This window comes from Homo sapiens, chromosome X, assembly GCF_000001405.40.
Source record: "Homo sapiens chromosome X, GRCh38.p14 Primary Assembly".
NCBI lineage: Eukaryota > Metazoa > Chordata > Mammalia > Primates > Hominidae > Homo > Homo sapiens.
In genome coordinates, this window is record NC_000023.11 from 50,977,409 (window position 1) to 50,994,826 (window position 17,418).

Genomic DNA, 17,418 nt, shown 5'->3' on the forward strand with positions numbered 1-17,418 from the left:
GAAGACAGAACCTGGGGAGAATATAGAATTTTATCAGGCCAACACCATCTATGATGAGATAATGAGTTTATTCTGTGAAGACACAACTCGTCTCCCAGATAAACCATGATCTTGTTAGCTACATCTTGGCCATGTGATCTTGGGAAGGTTATTAATTCCCTTTGAGCCCCAGTCTCATTTTCAAAATGAAGCTAACAGTACTTTGTAGGGCTGTTGAAAAATTTGGATATGAAAATGCATCTAAAATGGCCCAAAATAGAGCAATAAAAATATTGATTTCCTTTTCTTCTTCCATTTCTATGTATTTCCCCAGAAGTTATTGTTGTATAATAATTATTCTGGTCAAGTTAAGATAAAAAACTTTCTATCTTAAATTTTCTAAGCAACCAATACACATAAATGCAGTTTGTCTTACATGGATATATAATTTGTAAGCTTAGCCCTTAAAATTCCCTGAGATATAAGAGCAATGTACAAAACTCAACTGAATTTCTATACATTTTCAATTAATACCTTTAAAACAAAATTAAGTAATTCCACTTATAATAGCATCAAAAAGAATAAAATATTTGAGAATACATTTAACCAAGGACGTGCAAGCCTTATAAACTGAAAACTGCAACACTTTGTTTAAAAATTTAAAGAATATCTAAATAAATGTGAAAACATCCCATGCTCATTGTTGGGAATAATGCTCAAAATCCTAAGGAGACTGAACACTCAAACAAAGGAGTCTTAGCAAAGCAATTTTACTTCTGTGCAGAGGGGTGCTTCTCCTTGGCCAGTCGCCATGAGAGCACACCTGAACAAAGGGGCAGGAGAGCCTTTATTCCTGACGCAAGTCCTGCCCCTGTACCCTTTCTCCACTGGCTAGGGTTGGGTGGTGCAATCTGAACTAATTCCGGTTGGCTAGACATTTGAACTTTTTTTTTAGATAAGGTGGGCATGTAAGGGAGAGGGTAAAAAAAGGGGAAGGGGTGTCTGCAATGAGCTAGAGAGCTAGTCTCCTTTCCAAATTAGGAAAGGAATGTGAGCTGGTACTGATAAGCCTGGTACTGTGGCGTGTCCGGGTATGTAACAAAGGCAGAAAAGACAAAAAGGAAAAAGGGGTGGGTACTATGAATTAAAGAATAAAGGATTGATCAGGCTATTTGAAGAGAAACCTCATCATATCCCACATCATGGATCAGAATATTTAATATTATTAAGATGGTAATATTCTCCAAAGTGGTCTACAGACTCAGTGTAGTCTCTGTCACAATAATAGTGTGCTTCTTTGTAGAAATTGGCAAGGTGATCCTAAAATTCCTATGGAAACTCAAGGGACCCATAATAGCCACCATAATTTAGAAAAAGGAGAACAAAGTTGAAGCTGTCACACATTTTGATTTCAAAAGTTACTACAAAGCAAGAATAACCAGAACAACGTGGCATTGGCATAAGGATAAAATAAAGATAAATGGAATAAAATTGAGAGTCTAGAAATGAACTCTCACATTTACAATCAACTGATTTTTGACAAAGGTGCCAAAGCGATTCAATAGGAGAAAGAATATCCTTTTCAACAAGTGGTGCGGGGACAACTGAATAGCCACATACAAAAGAATAAGGTCAGACTCTGCCTCACATTGAGATAGCCAGATGGGAGCGTGTCCCTGGGAAAAACTCCAACTGGCCTGAGCACTGGAGTAGAGCCTCAGGAATTTCGTGCCTTTTGCAGTTGAGAGGAGCCTGGCCCCTCCTCTTCTTGTGTGGAACCTAGGATTCGAGCTGTGGGCAGAAAGTGCTCTAGCAGGGACTCTGGCTTTGAAAGAGTCCCTTTTTCCTCCTTTTCTTCCTTTACACCCAATAAAACCTGTCTTACCCTTCAAACTGTCTGCACGCCTGAATTTTTATGGCTGTGGGACAAAGGACCTCATCTTTAGCTGAACTAAGGAAAAAGTCCTGCAACATTTTTGGCGTGCAACGTAGGGACTTGAGAAGCGGTGAGTGAAATGGGGACTCAAAACCTCTTACTGTTGCTCCTAAACCTTTTCATCCTGGGACTTCTGAGCTTATGGGAAACAGTGCCCCCCACCGGCCCTCCCAGGAAGGAGGCCTTTTCATGGCCTTTTCCTTCCTTTTTCCAGATGGACTGGTGAGCCACAGCTGCCTGCCGCTCCCCACTCCGTGCTCGTGCTTGGGCTGGGATGCATGGCCCAAGGGTCCCACACAGCTGGTTCCACTGGACAGTAATTAAGCTTAAGCTTCTCTCCCAGCTGGAGGAACCACTTGCAGGAGAATAAGAGGTTCTTCCCCAGACATTTTTAAACCTTTTTTCTTTCCCCTTCTCTACCCTATCAACAAGTTAACCTTTAAAGTTTTCTTTTTCTTTTAGAAGATAGGCCAACCCCAACCCAACTATCACTGTTTGCATTCTCTGCAAAGTTTAGGTTGTGAAACCAAGCCTCCATCTTGTTTTACCGCTTGAGGGCATGGCTTCTAACTCTGGGGGCAAGGCTTTGCTTAGCAATCCTGCCTCAGAGGATGAGCCCTCTCTGGTTCCATAGCTGCATGTTTTCCTAGCCCTGTCTCTTAAAGGGCCCCATCCAGCTACTGGGTTTTTTTCTGCCTGTCTGTGTATGTACTGTGTATGATTTCTGCAAAATGAGCTCTAATTAATTTGGCTTAAAGAAAGACAAGCGCTTGGATTAAATATTTTTAAAAGGGAAGATAAAAGCTGTGGTACTTTTCAGTTCATGTGACTTTAATCTTTGAGAAATAAAAACAGACTTAAAGATTATTGGTAGAATGCAGGTGTCATTAAAATGTAAATAGATGAAATAAACTGTGCAGGTCAGATGCAAGGTTTGCCCAATGTGTTAAGGTTACAAACTGCTTTTTGGCTTTTGAGAACTATCTGTCTTGCCTGCTTCACAATTGGTAAGGCCTGGGGACATATGGAACCAACCATGCCCTTCATTATGCTGGAGTCAAACCTTGACTGCACTTAACACACAAAGCAAATTAACAAGTTTTACCTTAAAGTTAAAAATCCGCTAGGAGTTACCATTATAATACGTAATTGAAGCTACTGAAAGTAAATTTACATGCAAGAAGTGTAAGAACAGTAAAATGTGTTTTTTTGGAAAAGGTTACAAAAAGGCATGGAAATGTAAATTTTTGCCTAGGCTTAAACGATTGTTTTGAATTAGGAAAAAACTGAGGGTTCAAACAAGTGGTGGAAGAATTGTAGAAATTAATCTCGCAGAAGAGGTTCTCTGTGTGAACATGTTGACTAAATTCAAAAGGGCTGTAAAAGGTTTTTGCTTCTTTAAAATTTATGAGTCATCATTTTGGAAAAATAAATAACTTATGGTAATCTGGAATTCTATTTCATAATATCAAGTGCTTTAAACACATTTAACAGTCTTCCCAAAATCAAACTTCAGTTTCAAAGTTGTCTTTCTTGACAACTTTCAGATAGTCCAGAGGGCCCCTGGAATGTCCAGAAAAGAGAGGTAAACAGGATTATTTGACATGTCTAGGTACATGAGATTGCCAAAGGTGATGTTCAATCTTTTTTAGGTTATATCTTGGTGAATAATGCTAATATATGTTCCAAAATTGTATGGGATTTCTAAAATTCTAATGTCTAAGTATATGCTATCAATCATAATTAAGGTTGCTATGTTGTTATTTGTAAACCACGGAGATAACCAAACTTCTTTGTCAATTGTGTTTCTAACTATAACTGCTCTAGACATTTTGCTATTCACAGACAATTGTTGTCTTGTTTTAATCCTTTCAAAAGATGGTTTATAATAAGCTATAGGACTCTGACAGGTGCTCTCAAATACAATTTCTGATTGTGTTTGAGACAATTGGGTTTCTGATAACTTTGGAGATTGTAACATTGGAATAAAGGAAAATGTACAGTATTCACGAAGAGCTGAAATGTTCATGAATATCACGTGAAACAAGAGTTAACTAACTGGACTGAACTCAGAAATCTGAAGCAACCTTTCTAAGACTTTTGCTTGGAATATTGCTGATCCGTGTTTTGTTTTTCAGAGTCAAGGAAACTTATGTTAAACTATTTATAGCCTTTTAATAATTGAGTAAGGTAATACCCACTGTGAACAAAATTTGGAGCACGTTTGTTTCTCTCTGCCTGGTTCCTCTAAATTTGAAAACTATCTGGAGTGTTCTTATGGCAATATAGTTGTTTGCATCAGTGCAATAAGAATCAATTTTTCTTTTGCAGCAGGACACAATTGGAGAATGTGGTAATTTTACCAAGGCTTTGACTGGAAGGGTATGCTTCCCTTTAAGGAGTCAAGCTTGGCTTGCAGAGCCGATAGAAGCCCAGTGGGGAGACTGGCCTCATACCCTCATCTACCCAGTCCCTGTACAGGGTTCCTGACCTGTGGTCAATAAAGAATGTCACTTTCTAACAGGTCCAAGAGCTCCAAGTTTATCTTGGGACCTTAAGAGGAGAGGATCACCCAACTCACATGTACTTGAGGATAAACCCATGGCTGGGCTTGGCTTTAAAAGGTCTTTTTTTTTTTTTTTTTTTTTTTTTTGAGACGGAGTCTCACTCTTGTCGCCCAGGCCGGACTGCAGTGGCGCTATCTCGGCTCACTGCAAGCTCCGCCTCCCGGGTTCACGCCATTCTCCTGCCTCAGCCTCCCGAGTAGCTGGGACTACAGGCGTGCACCACTACGCCCGGCTAATTTTGTATTTTTAGTAGAGATGAGGTTTGGCCATATTGGCCAGGCTGGTCTCGAACTCCTGACCTCAGGTGATCTGCCCGCCTGGGCCTCCCAAAGTGCTGGGATTACAGGCTTGAGCCACCGCACCCGGCCTAAAAGGTCTTATATGAGATCCCTTGGGGAACAGAGTTCCAGCACAGACAATCTAAAAGGCCTTTGTAGAAATAATTTTTCTTGCTTCACTTTATGCAAATAATAAGGCCAAGTATAAGACTAAAGTTTATTTTGCAAACCACTCAGTCCTAGGATGATTTGGTTTTTTAACAAAAATGAGGACTGGAGAGAGAGAAAAATTATGTTTCAACACTTATCATACATTTGTCACTAAATTCTAAACTCACTAGTTGTTTTTAAGTTTTTGCCTACATGTTAGACTAACCCTGATTGTTCCGTGAACCAACCAGCAATCTCCAACTTCAGCTCAGAGAGAAAAAAAGGGATGGGCAATGTAGAAATCCAGATCAATATTCTAGTTCTGAGAAATTATCCTACAAATCCTGCCAGGCGATTGGAATAAATAGGGTGCCCATCACTCAGGGGTTTCCTTTTGGGAAAGTAAGACCAAGGGAGCTAACCAAAGCCAAGCACCATGCACCCAAATCCTAGCAAGCATGACTATAGCCACCAGTTATCTGGGCATGTCACAAGACATCCTTTTCTCTCCTTTGTTGGAGGAAGACTCAATCCCACAGCTTTACCCTAGCATTCAGCTTATAATAAGGAGTCCATGCAACCCCCCACCCTGAGACACATTTTTGTCCCAAACTCAATTCCAAGCTTTGGGTCAAAGTCCTAGGAAAGAAAACTGGATCTGAAGGATCCAGAGGTGGATGATAATGGGAAGTTAAAAGGCACAGGGCAGGTGAGCATGGCTGATTCCTGCCGATCAAGCCAAGCCCAAGCTTCTTGTTTCATGGATAAAGGCCACGTTAGTATCCATGGCAAAAATGAGGTCTAGGGAATCCACGGCTACTGAAAAGCAGGGGAGATGGGGCATATGTGGGTAAGAGTGGGTGATTCCCACCCCGTACCCACCCTTCCCCCGCTTCATTGGTGCAAGCCGCTGTGACATTCATGGCGGGACGTGCCATGGTCGCCAGGACTCAGGGATGCAAGGATGGAAGAGGGAAAGACGATGCTCTTCCCTCTTTCCCTCACGTACCCCGGGTATCTGTTAGGAAGAGAAGGGAACCAGGGATACCTGCTCCACTCTTTCTAGAAGGGTAGCCATTCATCTTCAGTCTGTACCCTTTCTGAGTGCATCCTGAACCCCTGGGACTCCTTTAAAAGGCACCTTCTTTTTTCCTTTCTCCTCTTCTGTCTTCTTCACAGATAGGTAATTGTGTCTCTGTACTATGGGATGCTCCCCTCAGATGCATCCTCCAAACTGGTAAGAGTTAATTTCCCAAACCTTAAACTGGTTGGCTTAGGATTGGGCTCAGGGGAAGGGGAACCAGAAGGGTAAAGTGTTTTTTTACCGGTCAGGCTTTTGGCCCTCCTTTCCATGTGCAAACTGGTAAAAGGCCTCAGGATTTCTGAGCTGTCCTTACCCCTCCCCTTGTTTCGACTTGATACATGTTTTCTAATAAACTGGTTTGTCTCTTCTTGCCTTCAGGTCATCAAACTCCAAGTGGCCATGCAACCAGAGCCTCTGATGATGGCCCCTTCTGCTGGGAACCTTACACAGGCCTCTGAGGGAGCTTTAACTGCCGTTTCCCCAAAACAGCACCCCTGTCAGCAGGAAGCAGTTAAGATCGGTCTTCATACTTATCCTTATTCTAAGGGCAGTTGGATGTGCTTCTTTAGAGGGGCGAATGAGGCAGCCAAGTGGGAGGGGGTCCCTGGAAAAACTCCAACCAGCCTGCACACTGGGGTGGAGCCTTGGGAAGTTCATGCCATTTGCAACAGGGAGGTGCCTGACTCCTTCTCTCTGTGTGGAACCTGGGATTCAAGTTGCGAGCGGGAAGCGCTCTAGCAGGGACTCTGGCCTTGTGAGAGTCCCTGTTTCCCCCCTTTCTTTCTTTACATCCAATAAAACCCTGTCTTACCATTCAAATCTGAATTTTTGTGGCCGTGGACAGAGGACCCCATCTTTAGCTGAAATAAGGAAAAGTCCTGCAACAACATCAAATACAATAATTAAGGCAAAGTGGATCAAAGGCTTCGTGTAATAGCTAAAACCATAAAACTGTTAGACGGAAACAGGGGTAAATCCCCGTGGCCTTAGATTTGGCAATAGTTTCTTACAAGTGATACCAAAAGCACAAGCAACAAAAGAAAAACAGATAAATTGAACTTTATCAAAATTGTGAGTTTTTGTTCTTTAAAGGACACTATCAAGAAAGTGAAAATACAACCCACACAATGGAAGAAGAGGTTTATAAAGTATACACTGGGTAATGGCCTAGCACCCAGAATCTATAAAGTACCCACAACTCAATAACAAAAGGACAAAAATCGGAAAAGGGTCAAAGTCAACATTTCTCAAAAGAAGATGCACAAATGGCCAACAGGCACAAGAAAAGATTCTCAATGTTTTAGTCATTAGGAAATACAAATCAAAACCACAATGAGATACAACTTTACGTATACTACAATGCCTATAATCAAAAAGATCATAAGAAGCACTGGCGAGCCCGTAGAGACATTTGAACCCTAAAACACTGCTGGCAGGAATATAAAATGGTGCAGTCACTTTGGAAAACAGTCCAGCAGTTTCTCAAAGAGTTAAATCTAGAATTATCATATGGCTTAGCAATTCCTAGGTATATACCTAAGAAAAATGAAAGCATATGTCTTCACAAAAACTTGTACTCAAATGTTTATAGCAGTATTACTCATAGTATCTAAAAGTAGAAACAACCCAAATGTTCAACGTAATGAATGGATAAATAAAATATGGTATAACCATACAATCAAATATCATTTGGCTGTAAAAAGGAATGAAGTACTGAGGCATAGTACAAGATGGATGAACCTTAAAATTACTATGTTTCACGAAAGAAGCCAGTCACAGAAAATCACATATATGGTGCCTTTCATGTGAAGTGTCAAGAATAAGCCAATCTACAGTCAGAAAATAGATTAGTAGTCACTGCTAGTGGCTGGAGGGCAGGGGGAATGGAGAGTGACTGCTAATGGGTATGAGCTTTCTTTATGGGGCGATGAAAATGTTACAAAATTGGTGGTGCTGATGATTGTAAAACTCTGTAAATATACTAAAAAACATAGAATCATAGACTATAAATGAATAAATTGTTTGGTATGTGAATCATATATCAAAGCACATGTTCTGATCAAAGTGGAAAACAATGAAATAAAAAGTTCCCTGGAGCAGAGTTCTGGAGCGGTGGGAGTTAAACAGGTAAATGTAATTCATATAAGTCTAAATTCCGGAAACCAGGACTGTGTCTTTTACATTGCTGCAGTGCACATGTTTAACAAAGTTCTGTATGTAGCCAATGTTAAAGACAATCACAGTAAAAAATGAAGAAAAGCTCTTGGAACCAAACCGTCCATCAATTTGCAACTATGTAGAAGAGAAGATGTTATGAAATCATGGAAGTCTCCAAGAGCCTTGACCTGTAAGAAGCTTGTAAAATTGAATTGTGCAGGTGCCTTGAGACTTGGTCAGAAACTTGCTCATTCCAGAGATTCCCTGGGGTTCAGATAGCTGACAACTACGCCTGGAGAAGTTAGACCTGTTCTAAATACCCTAGAGATTCTAGCACTCTTAAAACCATCTCCAGGCTCAGAATCTAACTAGAGAATTGCTGAACTAACTTGCTTTCCTTGAGGAGCTTCGGACTACTTAGAAGGGAATCAGGCTTGGGGTCAGTTTTTGAGACTAAAAGTCCTGAAATCTGTCTCTCCTGGAAACGCTAAGGGACATTTTTTAGTAATTTTTCTTCCAGTAAAATCCCAAAGTCTAATTTGAGTCCAAATCTTTGGGGTTCATCCAGAAGCAAATGGCTGCTAGGAACATAGACTGTTTGACTCCAGAGTGAGTAAATGTTAGATAGATTAAATCTTTACTTTATCTGGCTTTAGATTTGGTCTTGTATGAAACTGACAATAAAATAAGAAACATGGTTTAAACCATACAAATATCTGTCAAGAAGCTAGTGTGTCTCAAATCACTTTCACAAGGGTTAAAGATAAACCTGTAGCCATCTGATTTCTTTGCCAGTAGGAATGGGGTACTTGGTCATAGAATGAATATTATTTATATTTGCTTTCAAAACCCTTGATGGTTTAAAACATATACACTTTGTTTTGTAGGATAGATTACTTCCCACAAATGCTCATATGGAAGACTCTAAAACTAAATAGCATTTAAAGTGAATTCCATGAACCCTATTGATTTCCATTATGAAATCATAGATGGATTTCCATGGGAAGAATTCTCCTAAGTGACTGTTGAAAACTTTTGCAAAGGAAGATGCTATCATGGTGGTCATCTCTATGACCTACTGACCAGTGTAAAGAACACTGCTGGAACTTTGGTGCTACCAACTGTCAGCTATTAGTTATCTGCCCTTACTTAGAATTCAGTTAGGACCAAGCCAATCCAATTCATGTCTCCTCAAGGATTCTTACACATGCAGATAGTAAAATAATTTACTGTTTAATTAGGAAGGCCCTAGTTAGTATTCCTGGGGTTAAGCATTAACACAAAGGCTGCAAGATAATTTTTATTAAAAGGATACTATATTAGGCTACTGAAATGGCAAAGCAATGATTCTCAACTTTCAGAGGGCAAATTGAAAATACAGATTCTTGGGCCACACACTCAGAGCCACAGAGACAGTCAGATAATCCTAAAGCAAAGGACATCCAAGATTCTGCAGGCTCCTTGGATACATAATCCAGTACCTATATTCTCTTTGGAATGTGATAATATGGGATTCTATATATAACTAACAGCCTATAAATACTATACGCTGGGTACTGTCTACACACATTACATATATTAACTTAATCCTCACAGCAAAACTTTCAAGGAGATACTATTATTTTCATCCCCATTTTATAGATGAGAAAACTAAGGCAGAGGTTAAGTAACTTTCCCAGGGTCACTCTGCTGATAAAGTAGCAGTACTTAGATTTTAACAAATCATCATTTATTGCAGAAACTATGCTTAATCTGCTATGGGCTATAACACTTTGCTTTTCCTACACCATTCTTTTTTCTAGCTGTATCAGATTTTTTTAAATTGGCAGTTTTAAGAGTGTGCTAACAAGGTCAATCTCTGTGAAAGTCAGAGGAATGCTCTCTGCACTAATTAAGAGATAATCACAACTAATTTCTCCTGGCCTCAATAATACAGACATGGTCTGTCTGAATATTTGCATTCTTCCAGCCAATGTCCATGAATATAGTTTGGGCATCTATTCTCAGTTTGACAGTCTTGTGAAGGCAATATAGTCTATGCACCCAAAGACTGGCACAGAGTGGGTCATGGTTCTCTGGGGCTTCCTTTCATTTTCTGTGGAGATAGAGAGGAATGTATCCTCTGAAGACAGCTATGGGATTTCAACAAGAAAACACCTGACCAGAGACATTGAGAAGTATAACCTAGATTCATATTTATTTAATACCTCTTGAGTGCCTGCTGTATGGAGGTGCTAGGGTTATGGTAGGGAAGAAAACAGGCAACCCCCTGCCCTTGGGGATATCCTTATTTAATATTCAACATGTCTTTAAGTATTATTCTTATTAGAATTATAATCTTCCTTGAAATATGACCCTCCAAATTGCCTCAGTTTCCCCACAAGTAAAACAAAGGTGGGATTAAACTCCCTAGGTAAGCGGCCTCTGAGCCAGAGCTTAGTGTGTAGGAAGTTTATTGGGAGTGCTATCAGAACTGACACCTGTTGAGGAAGTAAAGAAGCAAGACTGGCTGGAGGGAGAGGCTGAACTGTGATACAGCCTCAACAAAGGCTGCAGATCACCTCATAGGGCCCTCTGGAATTGAGATGGTCATGCTAAATTGGAGTCAGGGGATCAGGGATAAGGTTTTTACACCATCCCCCCATAAGGCAGGTCATTGGTTAGTGCTGTCCTGTGCAAGACAGCTGTCTTCAAAGAATGGAAATTCCCAAAGAGCTATTTTCAGGCAGCACTTCCAGCAGCTAGGGGAAGAAGTTATTTAGTCCTCAAGGGGGATTTGGACGATACATCACAGCATCCATTACGGAAAGACTGGACTCTTATCTATGACACCCTGTCCAGATATCACATCCTACAATCTTATGACTGTAGGGGACTGGTAATGTCACTGCTGTCCACTCCGTCAAGTAGATATCCTAAGTGTAGTGAGTGCCCCTGTGGCAGTGTTGCCCTGGGATGCTGTTTCTTACATGGCTACCTGCTGCTCTGAATACCCAATAGACCTTGATTGGCAGGCCCAATCTCTCATCCTGCTTGAAGCTTACACTTGCACCTCATGAGCTCTGTGGGATCTTCAGAGTAGATGTCAGCGCTTTGAGTTCCATCACAGGCCTCTACAGACATAATCTGGGTGCAGCGACACCCTGCATAATCTTGTAAAGCAGGATTTTGCTAATTTTCTAGAGAGCTGAACCTGGCTTCTGTATTATGTTAATTAAAAGCATCCTGATTTATGAGAGTTGTAGGCAAAGGCATGCAATGGCTCAGGGATACACAATTTCTAACTTTGTGCTGCCACCTAATGGCCATCCAGCTGATGAGCAAAACAGAAGGCTGGGATATAATTAATTGAATACCCAAGAAAAGGAATCTTTAATGTGGGCTTCCCCTTCATCCCCCACTTGGAGATGAAGAAACATTCAAAGTTTCAGCTTAGGTTGTCTTAAAACCTGTCTCCATGAATCATTCCTTCCCTGGAAAGCCTTCTACCAATCTTTCAAGCCCTAACTCAGATGTCCTCTCTTTAAGAAGCCTTCCCAACCAACCCAGCAGTCAGCCTTTCCTCCTCTGGGCTGCCCTGGAATGGGGTATGTCCCTTTAGCATAGCCTGAATTGCACTTAGGTGAATTGCTTTGTGGTATATCTGACCAGGCTGAGCTCCAGTGAGGCAAGTTGTTGTGTTTTTGTTTTGTTTTTCTTGCTTCGTACATAGTATTTTCCCAAAGAGTGTTGTAGGTCTACACTAACCATTCATTTCACTCTACTTCTTGCTCTTTAAACTGTTTCTGGGTTTGTCATACAAATGCATGCTGGAAGTGATGAAAAAGTTGTCAAAGTAGTTTGCACTTTGTGACATTCTGTCCCTATTTCTCTTTCTCACTTCTGTCTCACATTAAGTTTTTAGAGAACTGCCTCACAGAGGCAGGCTTTCACTGTCCATGGGAACTTTTGTTTCATGACCCAATTGGGACACCCCTCTTTTACTTCATTGTGACTGCTGCCATTTGAAGAACAGACTGGAGTTCCCTCCACACTCCTTGCTTCTTAATATATATGCAATCATCTTTAGGAATATCAAGACCCTATTTTATAAAAACCCACCAAAACCCTATTTTGTAAAGCACTCTCACCATTCTGGTACCCAGCAGCCCACTGCCTGGGAACATCCAAATCTCTGGAATGCATTGAGTAACATGTTCAGTGTAGCCAGTGCTTCTGGTCCACCTAGCCTGACCCGTGGAATTCACTTACTAACTCACAGACATGCTCTACTCAGAACTCCCTATTTTCCTTCAATTAAGGCTACTGAGCCTACAACTTCCCCTCCTACCCAGCAGCGATGCCACTCCAGCTGTTAATCAGTGTTTGAAGAAACCATGGGCCAACCAAGAGGCCCTTCAGCACATCTTGAAGTCCGAGGGAGAGCATTCAAATGGAATCTGTTAACTGGCTCTTTCCTCCAATGCACAAATACCTTCCACTGTCTTTTTCACTTATGGATTCTGACCATTTAACAGGCACTTATCAGGTGCTCAATAAATGTTTGCTGAATAAGTGAATGAATCCATTTAGGCAGAAGATTTGAGGGTAATACCTGGAATGTTCATCAGAGAGCACCGTGGTCTTCGGGCTTTACCTGTTCAGCTGCATACATGTTAACCCCATGTACCTGAGGTAATGGAGATACAAAGCACCCAGACTGGCTTGAGAGAGTAAAGGAAATCTTCCAGAGCAGGTGATGGTAGAGCCCACCTTGGCAGCAAAGTGAGAGTTTTGCCAGGTAGACAAGGAGGGGAAGGAAGGAATGACAGGAACAGGGAAGCGGATGGGCAGGTAAGTGTAAGGAACCATGATGGGCTTCTTCCACCTGGTACATTCAGGAGACTATGAGTAGTCCAGGTTTTCTGGAGTGAGGTATAAAGTGACAGGGCAGGGGGAATGCTGAGAGATTTGACCAAATAGAGTCATGGTATTTTAAAAGCAAAAAGCCAAAAACATCACCGCCTGCTGAAAAATACACAAATGTTTTCCTCCAAACTTAGGGAAGAAAATCCAAATCCAGCCCCTGCCTCCCTCTCTGCCCTCAGCTGCCTCTTCCTGCTTCCTCTCTCATTCTGCTCCAGTCACAAAGGCTTCCCTGCTTGCCAGCTGGATTTCTAAAACCAAGAGAACCTCCTCTGGTCTCTAGCAGGCTCCACCATGGACTCAGACTAGATCTTTCTATGACCTTCAGAGTCTTCTTCCCCAATACCCGCTATCCTTTCTTGAAGCTCTCCTATACCATGTTTGTCTCAGGCCATATGAGCTACTACTCTTTTTACTATTTTTCCAGATAAACCCAGATGACTGGCAGCACACTAGTAATTTCACCCTCATTGTAGGTGAAATTCACCAAGGACCTTTTTAAAGGAGGAGAATGATCCTAGAACAAAATGTTTTGTGAGGTAGTGAGCTTCCCATCACCAGCGATGTTCCAGCAGAAGTTAAATGCCCGTTCCCAGGGAAGTTGTAGGAAGGAATCACTCACTGGGTGGGATCACATAGAGGACCTCTTAAGATTTTATTCTAACTGTACACAAACACCTAGACAGACATTATAATTTTATTAAAAGAAGGTGATATAGGTATCCCGTAATTAAGCAAAATATATAAAATGTAAATTTTTCAAATAAACAAATTTGAAGGACTGTATTTCATAAAAGGGATCCATTTGGGTGACTTTAACTAGAATCCTAAAATATTACAGGTAAAAGGGACTTTATTCACTTTGTTTTCTAAAACAAGAATTCTTTCTAATAGAACATTTTAGCACAATTACATTTGTTTAGAATTTGACCTGGTACATAGTAGGAGATAAATACATATTTGTTTAATGAATGCATAACCAAAGAAAAAATGTGATGTATATAACTTTTCAAAAATACAGCTATCGTTCCAAGTAAGATTCAAGTGTACAGTTTTGGCTGAGAGGACCTAGTTTGAGAAGTTGCTGTTGAGTGCAATAACAATAGTGAAAGGTGCTTGTTTTGTTTAATTTTGGTCTTGTTGTTTGGTCATTGTTGGAGAACAAAAGGTCAACAGTATTTTCTGGTGACAATTATATTCCTTTTAAAAATGTGGATCACCAGTAAAACTTCCAAAAGAAAACATCTTCACGTGTCCTTAGGTTATGTAAATGTCTATTGAGGTGCTCGAGAGGAGGCATGTTGTCTCACAGTTCCCTTATTCAGAATGTACCTGCCCCCACCCCTTATACATATGACCCACCCCAAGCCTCAGCTGCACTTCACCACCTGGTGAGTGGAGAGGGTGCCAGGCATGGTAAGCACAATCCCCACATGGCAAGCCCAGACAGTAAAGGTCAGATCTGTTGGGAGTGGCTGGGGGTTGAGATTATGAGGCTCATACCTATTTCTCTAAACTCAACACCCCAGTGGCCAATCTTTTCAAGAAATAGGAGGGAGAGCTTTGAATGGACTCTGGATTCATGAGGCAACTTTTAGGGTCCCTTAGAGACCCTTCCCTGTGGCCTCATCTTTTGCTCCCCCTATCCCTTTATCACAGGAATTGCTGCCTCTAATACTGGGATGGGATCTACATTTTCAAGGGACGGTTCCTGTTGCACCTGCTTTTTAAATGAAGCTGACTCTAGCATAATATCAGCTGCTTGGAAAAGAACACCAGTCTTCCATCAAATAAGCTGTCTTCGTTGCCTGGCACATTGACTTGTCAAGTTCCAAATGTCATGACCTGTGAAAACTTGAGACAACTACAAAGCAAATTAATGCCGGAGAAGTGGGCCCTAGGACTTCAGCAATTTGAGATTCTGATTACAAAAGACTGGAAAAGGAAAGACCCTTGGTAGTGCTCAACATGAACCAAAACACAAATAGACTCAGCATTTTTAATGTTTTAATGACTAGAAATGGAATCTTCACATATTGTAAAAAGTGAACAGAAAAGAAACATTAAATAAGAATAATGCATAATCTGCGATTTTTTTTTTTGAGACAGAGTTTTGCTCTTGTTGCCCAGGCTGGAATGCAATGGCGCGATCTTGGCTCACCACAACCTCCACCTCCCAGGTTCAAGCAATTCTCCTGCCTCAGCCTTCCCAAGCAGCTGGAATTATAGGCATGCGCCACCAAGCCCGGCTAATTTTGTATTTTTAGTAGAGATGGGTTTTCTCCATGTGGGTCAGGCTGGTCTCAAACTCCCGACCTCAGGTGATCCACCCACCTCGGCCTCCCAAAGTGCTGGGATTACAGGCGTGAGCCACCGCACCTGGCCTAATCTGGAATTTTTATTGTTTTGTGTTAATCTGTATTTTCAATGTTTGTATAATGTCCATGTGTTTGTAGTAATAAAATAATAAGGCATTTAAAACTATTTACTTTCAACCTTCACATCATTTTGTACTTATGTTACTTTGTAAGCAACTATGTCATTAAATTCTGGATTCTGAATCCAGTAGGCCCTTTCAGGTGGACCAGAAACCACAGTGAGAGAAGGTGGGGAATCTGCAATGAGTGTCTAAATAAGTTACTTCAGATCCAGTACCTATCTGGTTGCTAGGTTTTTCTGGCTCCCACAGGTGGTTCCCTCATCCTGTCAGAGTGAGCTTCATGCTGATCCTTTGTGTATTGCTGGATATTCAGGACATCATGTTTGGAGGTCCACAGATCCTATTGATACAGAAGGATTGCCAGAGTGCAGGCCACCTTAGGGTGGCCACCATAGCTGCCATGGAATTTTGTTCTAGTGAGAGAGAGCAATGAACTATTTATGCCTGGAAAATTCTGTAGAAGTCACTTAAGTGAGACATCAGGCTTGATATAGGAAATGAGGCAGCCAGGCTGTGCTCCTGGGATCTGGATGCTATATCCTGACAGCCTGTCAGTCAAAGATTCATGTGCAGAGGTCAGCAGAATATGGGCACAGCCGACTGTTAGCTATCAGGACTGTGTGTGAACTATGCTGACCTGATATATGAACTTAAGGGCCCAGTCAGAGCCCAGGTTCTGGGGCAGCTGATGTGCCCAAGGTAGATTAGGAATCCAATACTGGAGCAAGTTCAAAACTCTCCTAATAGGCGATGGTGACATGTTTGCCATTTATCCTACAGGCAGCAAGTGAGAAGTCAGTGAGGGGTTTGCATGAGAGGAAAATAAATACTCTGCATTCTGGACAGGCCTGTCTGATGGTGCCTTGGAGAATGAAATGGAGGTGAGGAGGTGGGTAAGGGGAAGGAAGGCAGGGTGAGAAACAGCACCAAATAAAGAAATCAAGGTGAACTGATGTGGCCCTGGTCTCAAGCTGTAGTAGTGGAGTTGGATGGAGGAGTGGAAATAGAGTTCAGAGAGCATTACATTTAGGGATGGGCTGGGCTCCCACCTGTAATTTCAGCATTTTGGGAGGCTGAGGCAGAAGGATCACTTGAGGCCAGGAGTTCAAGACCAAACTGAGCAACACAGTGAGACTCCATCTCTAAAAAAAAAAAAGATAGGAATGACCAAAGTTGGTAAACAGATAGTAGGGAGAAGGTAAGATGTAAAATGAATTCCAGGTTCCAGCTCAGGAGACAGGTTGCATGATGGTATCATGAACTGAGATTTTAGGCACAAGAGGGGAAGGAGGAAATTTGGATAGGACGTAGAGCAGGAGTGGAGTTAGGGAAACAGTTCAGTGGTCTCCAGTGGGTGCTATCAGCCTTCCAAATGAGGATTTCTAGGGACAGTCAAATACCTAAACCTGGAGAGGGGCTGGGCAGGGATCAGGTAGAGGAGTGATCCACAGTCGTTGCCTGACATCATGGACATAGTTGAGCTGACACTGAACAAGTATGAGTCTAATGAAATGGGAAGATGAAGAAGAGATTAGTGAAGAATAGAAAAGGGAATGTAGCAGGAAAAAAAAAAAAGAGGCGTTGCCAAGAATGGCACCTTGGGTAGCATCATTATGGATATATCAGAGTCAGCCAGTTAAAACACATCCTTAAACAATGCCCATGTGCCAGATCCTGTAGTGGATTCTGACAATTGTGGTCCACAGAACAGCAACATAGAGTTTAGTGCTTCAGACAGACATTGAACACATTTTACAATGAAACAAATTGTTACAAAATGTTTACCTAGTAATTGTAAGTAGAAAAAGTATTGTCAAGGAAAATATAGGATGCTGTGGGAGTGTAGAACAGTATGGACTTAACCAAATCTCATTGGGGGGGATTCGAGGAGAGGTACAAATGCCTTCTCTGAGAAAGTAGCA

At 41.5% G+C, this 17,418-nt stretch overlaps 1 long non-coding RNA gene across 2 annotated transcripts; it reads left to right on the plus strand.

Moving 5' to 3' along the window:
* The first annotated feature begins 1,735 nt into the window (after window positions 1-1,735).
* Window positions 1,736-14,805, plus strand: ASMER2 (adipocyte associated metabolic related lncRNA 2). 2 transcript variants are annotated; one of them, XR_001755849.2, is made up of 3 exons: window positions 1,736-1,985; window positions 6,373-6,504; window positions 14,716-14,805. It is a non-coding gene; the product is annotated as an adipocyte associated metabolic related lncRNA 2 (long non-coding RNA). The 2 variants fall into 2 exon arrangements; XR_938374.3 differs by lacking the exon at window positions 14,716-14,805 and having other exon boundaries at window positions 6,373-6,813.
* Window positions 14,806-17,418: the final 2,613 nt, after the last annotated feature.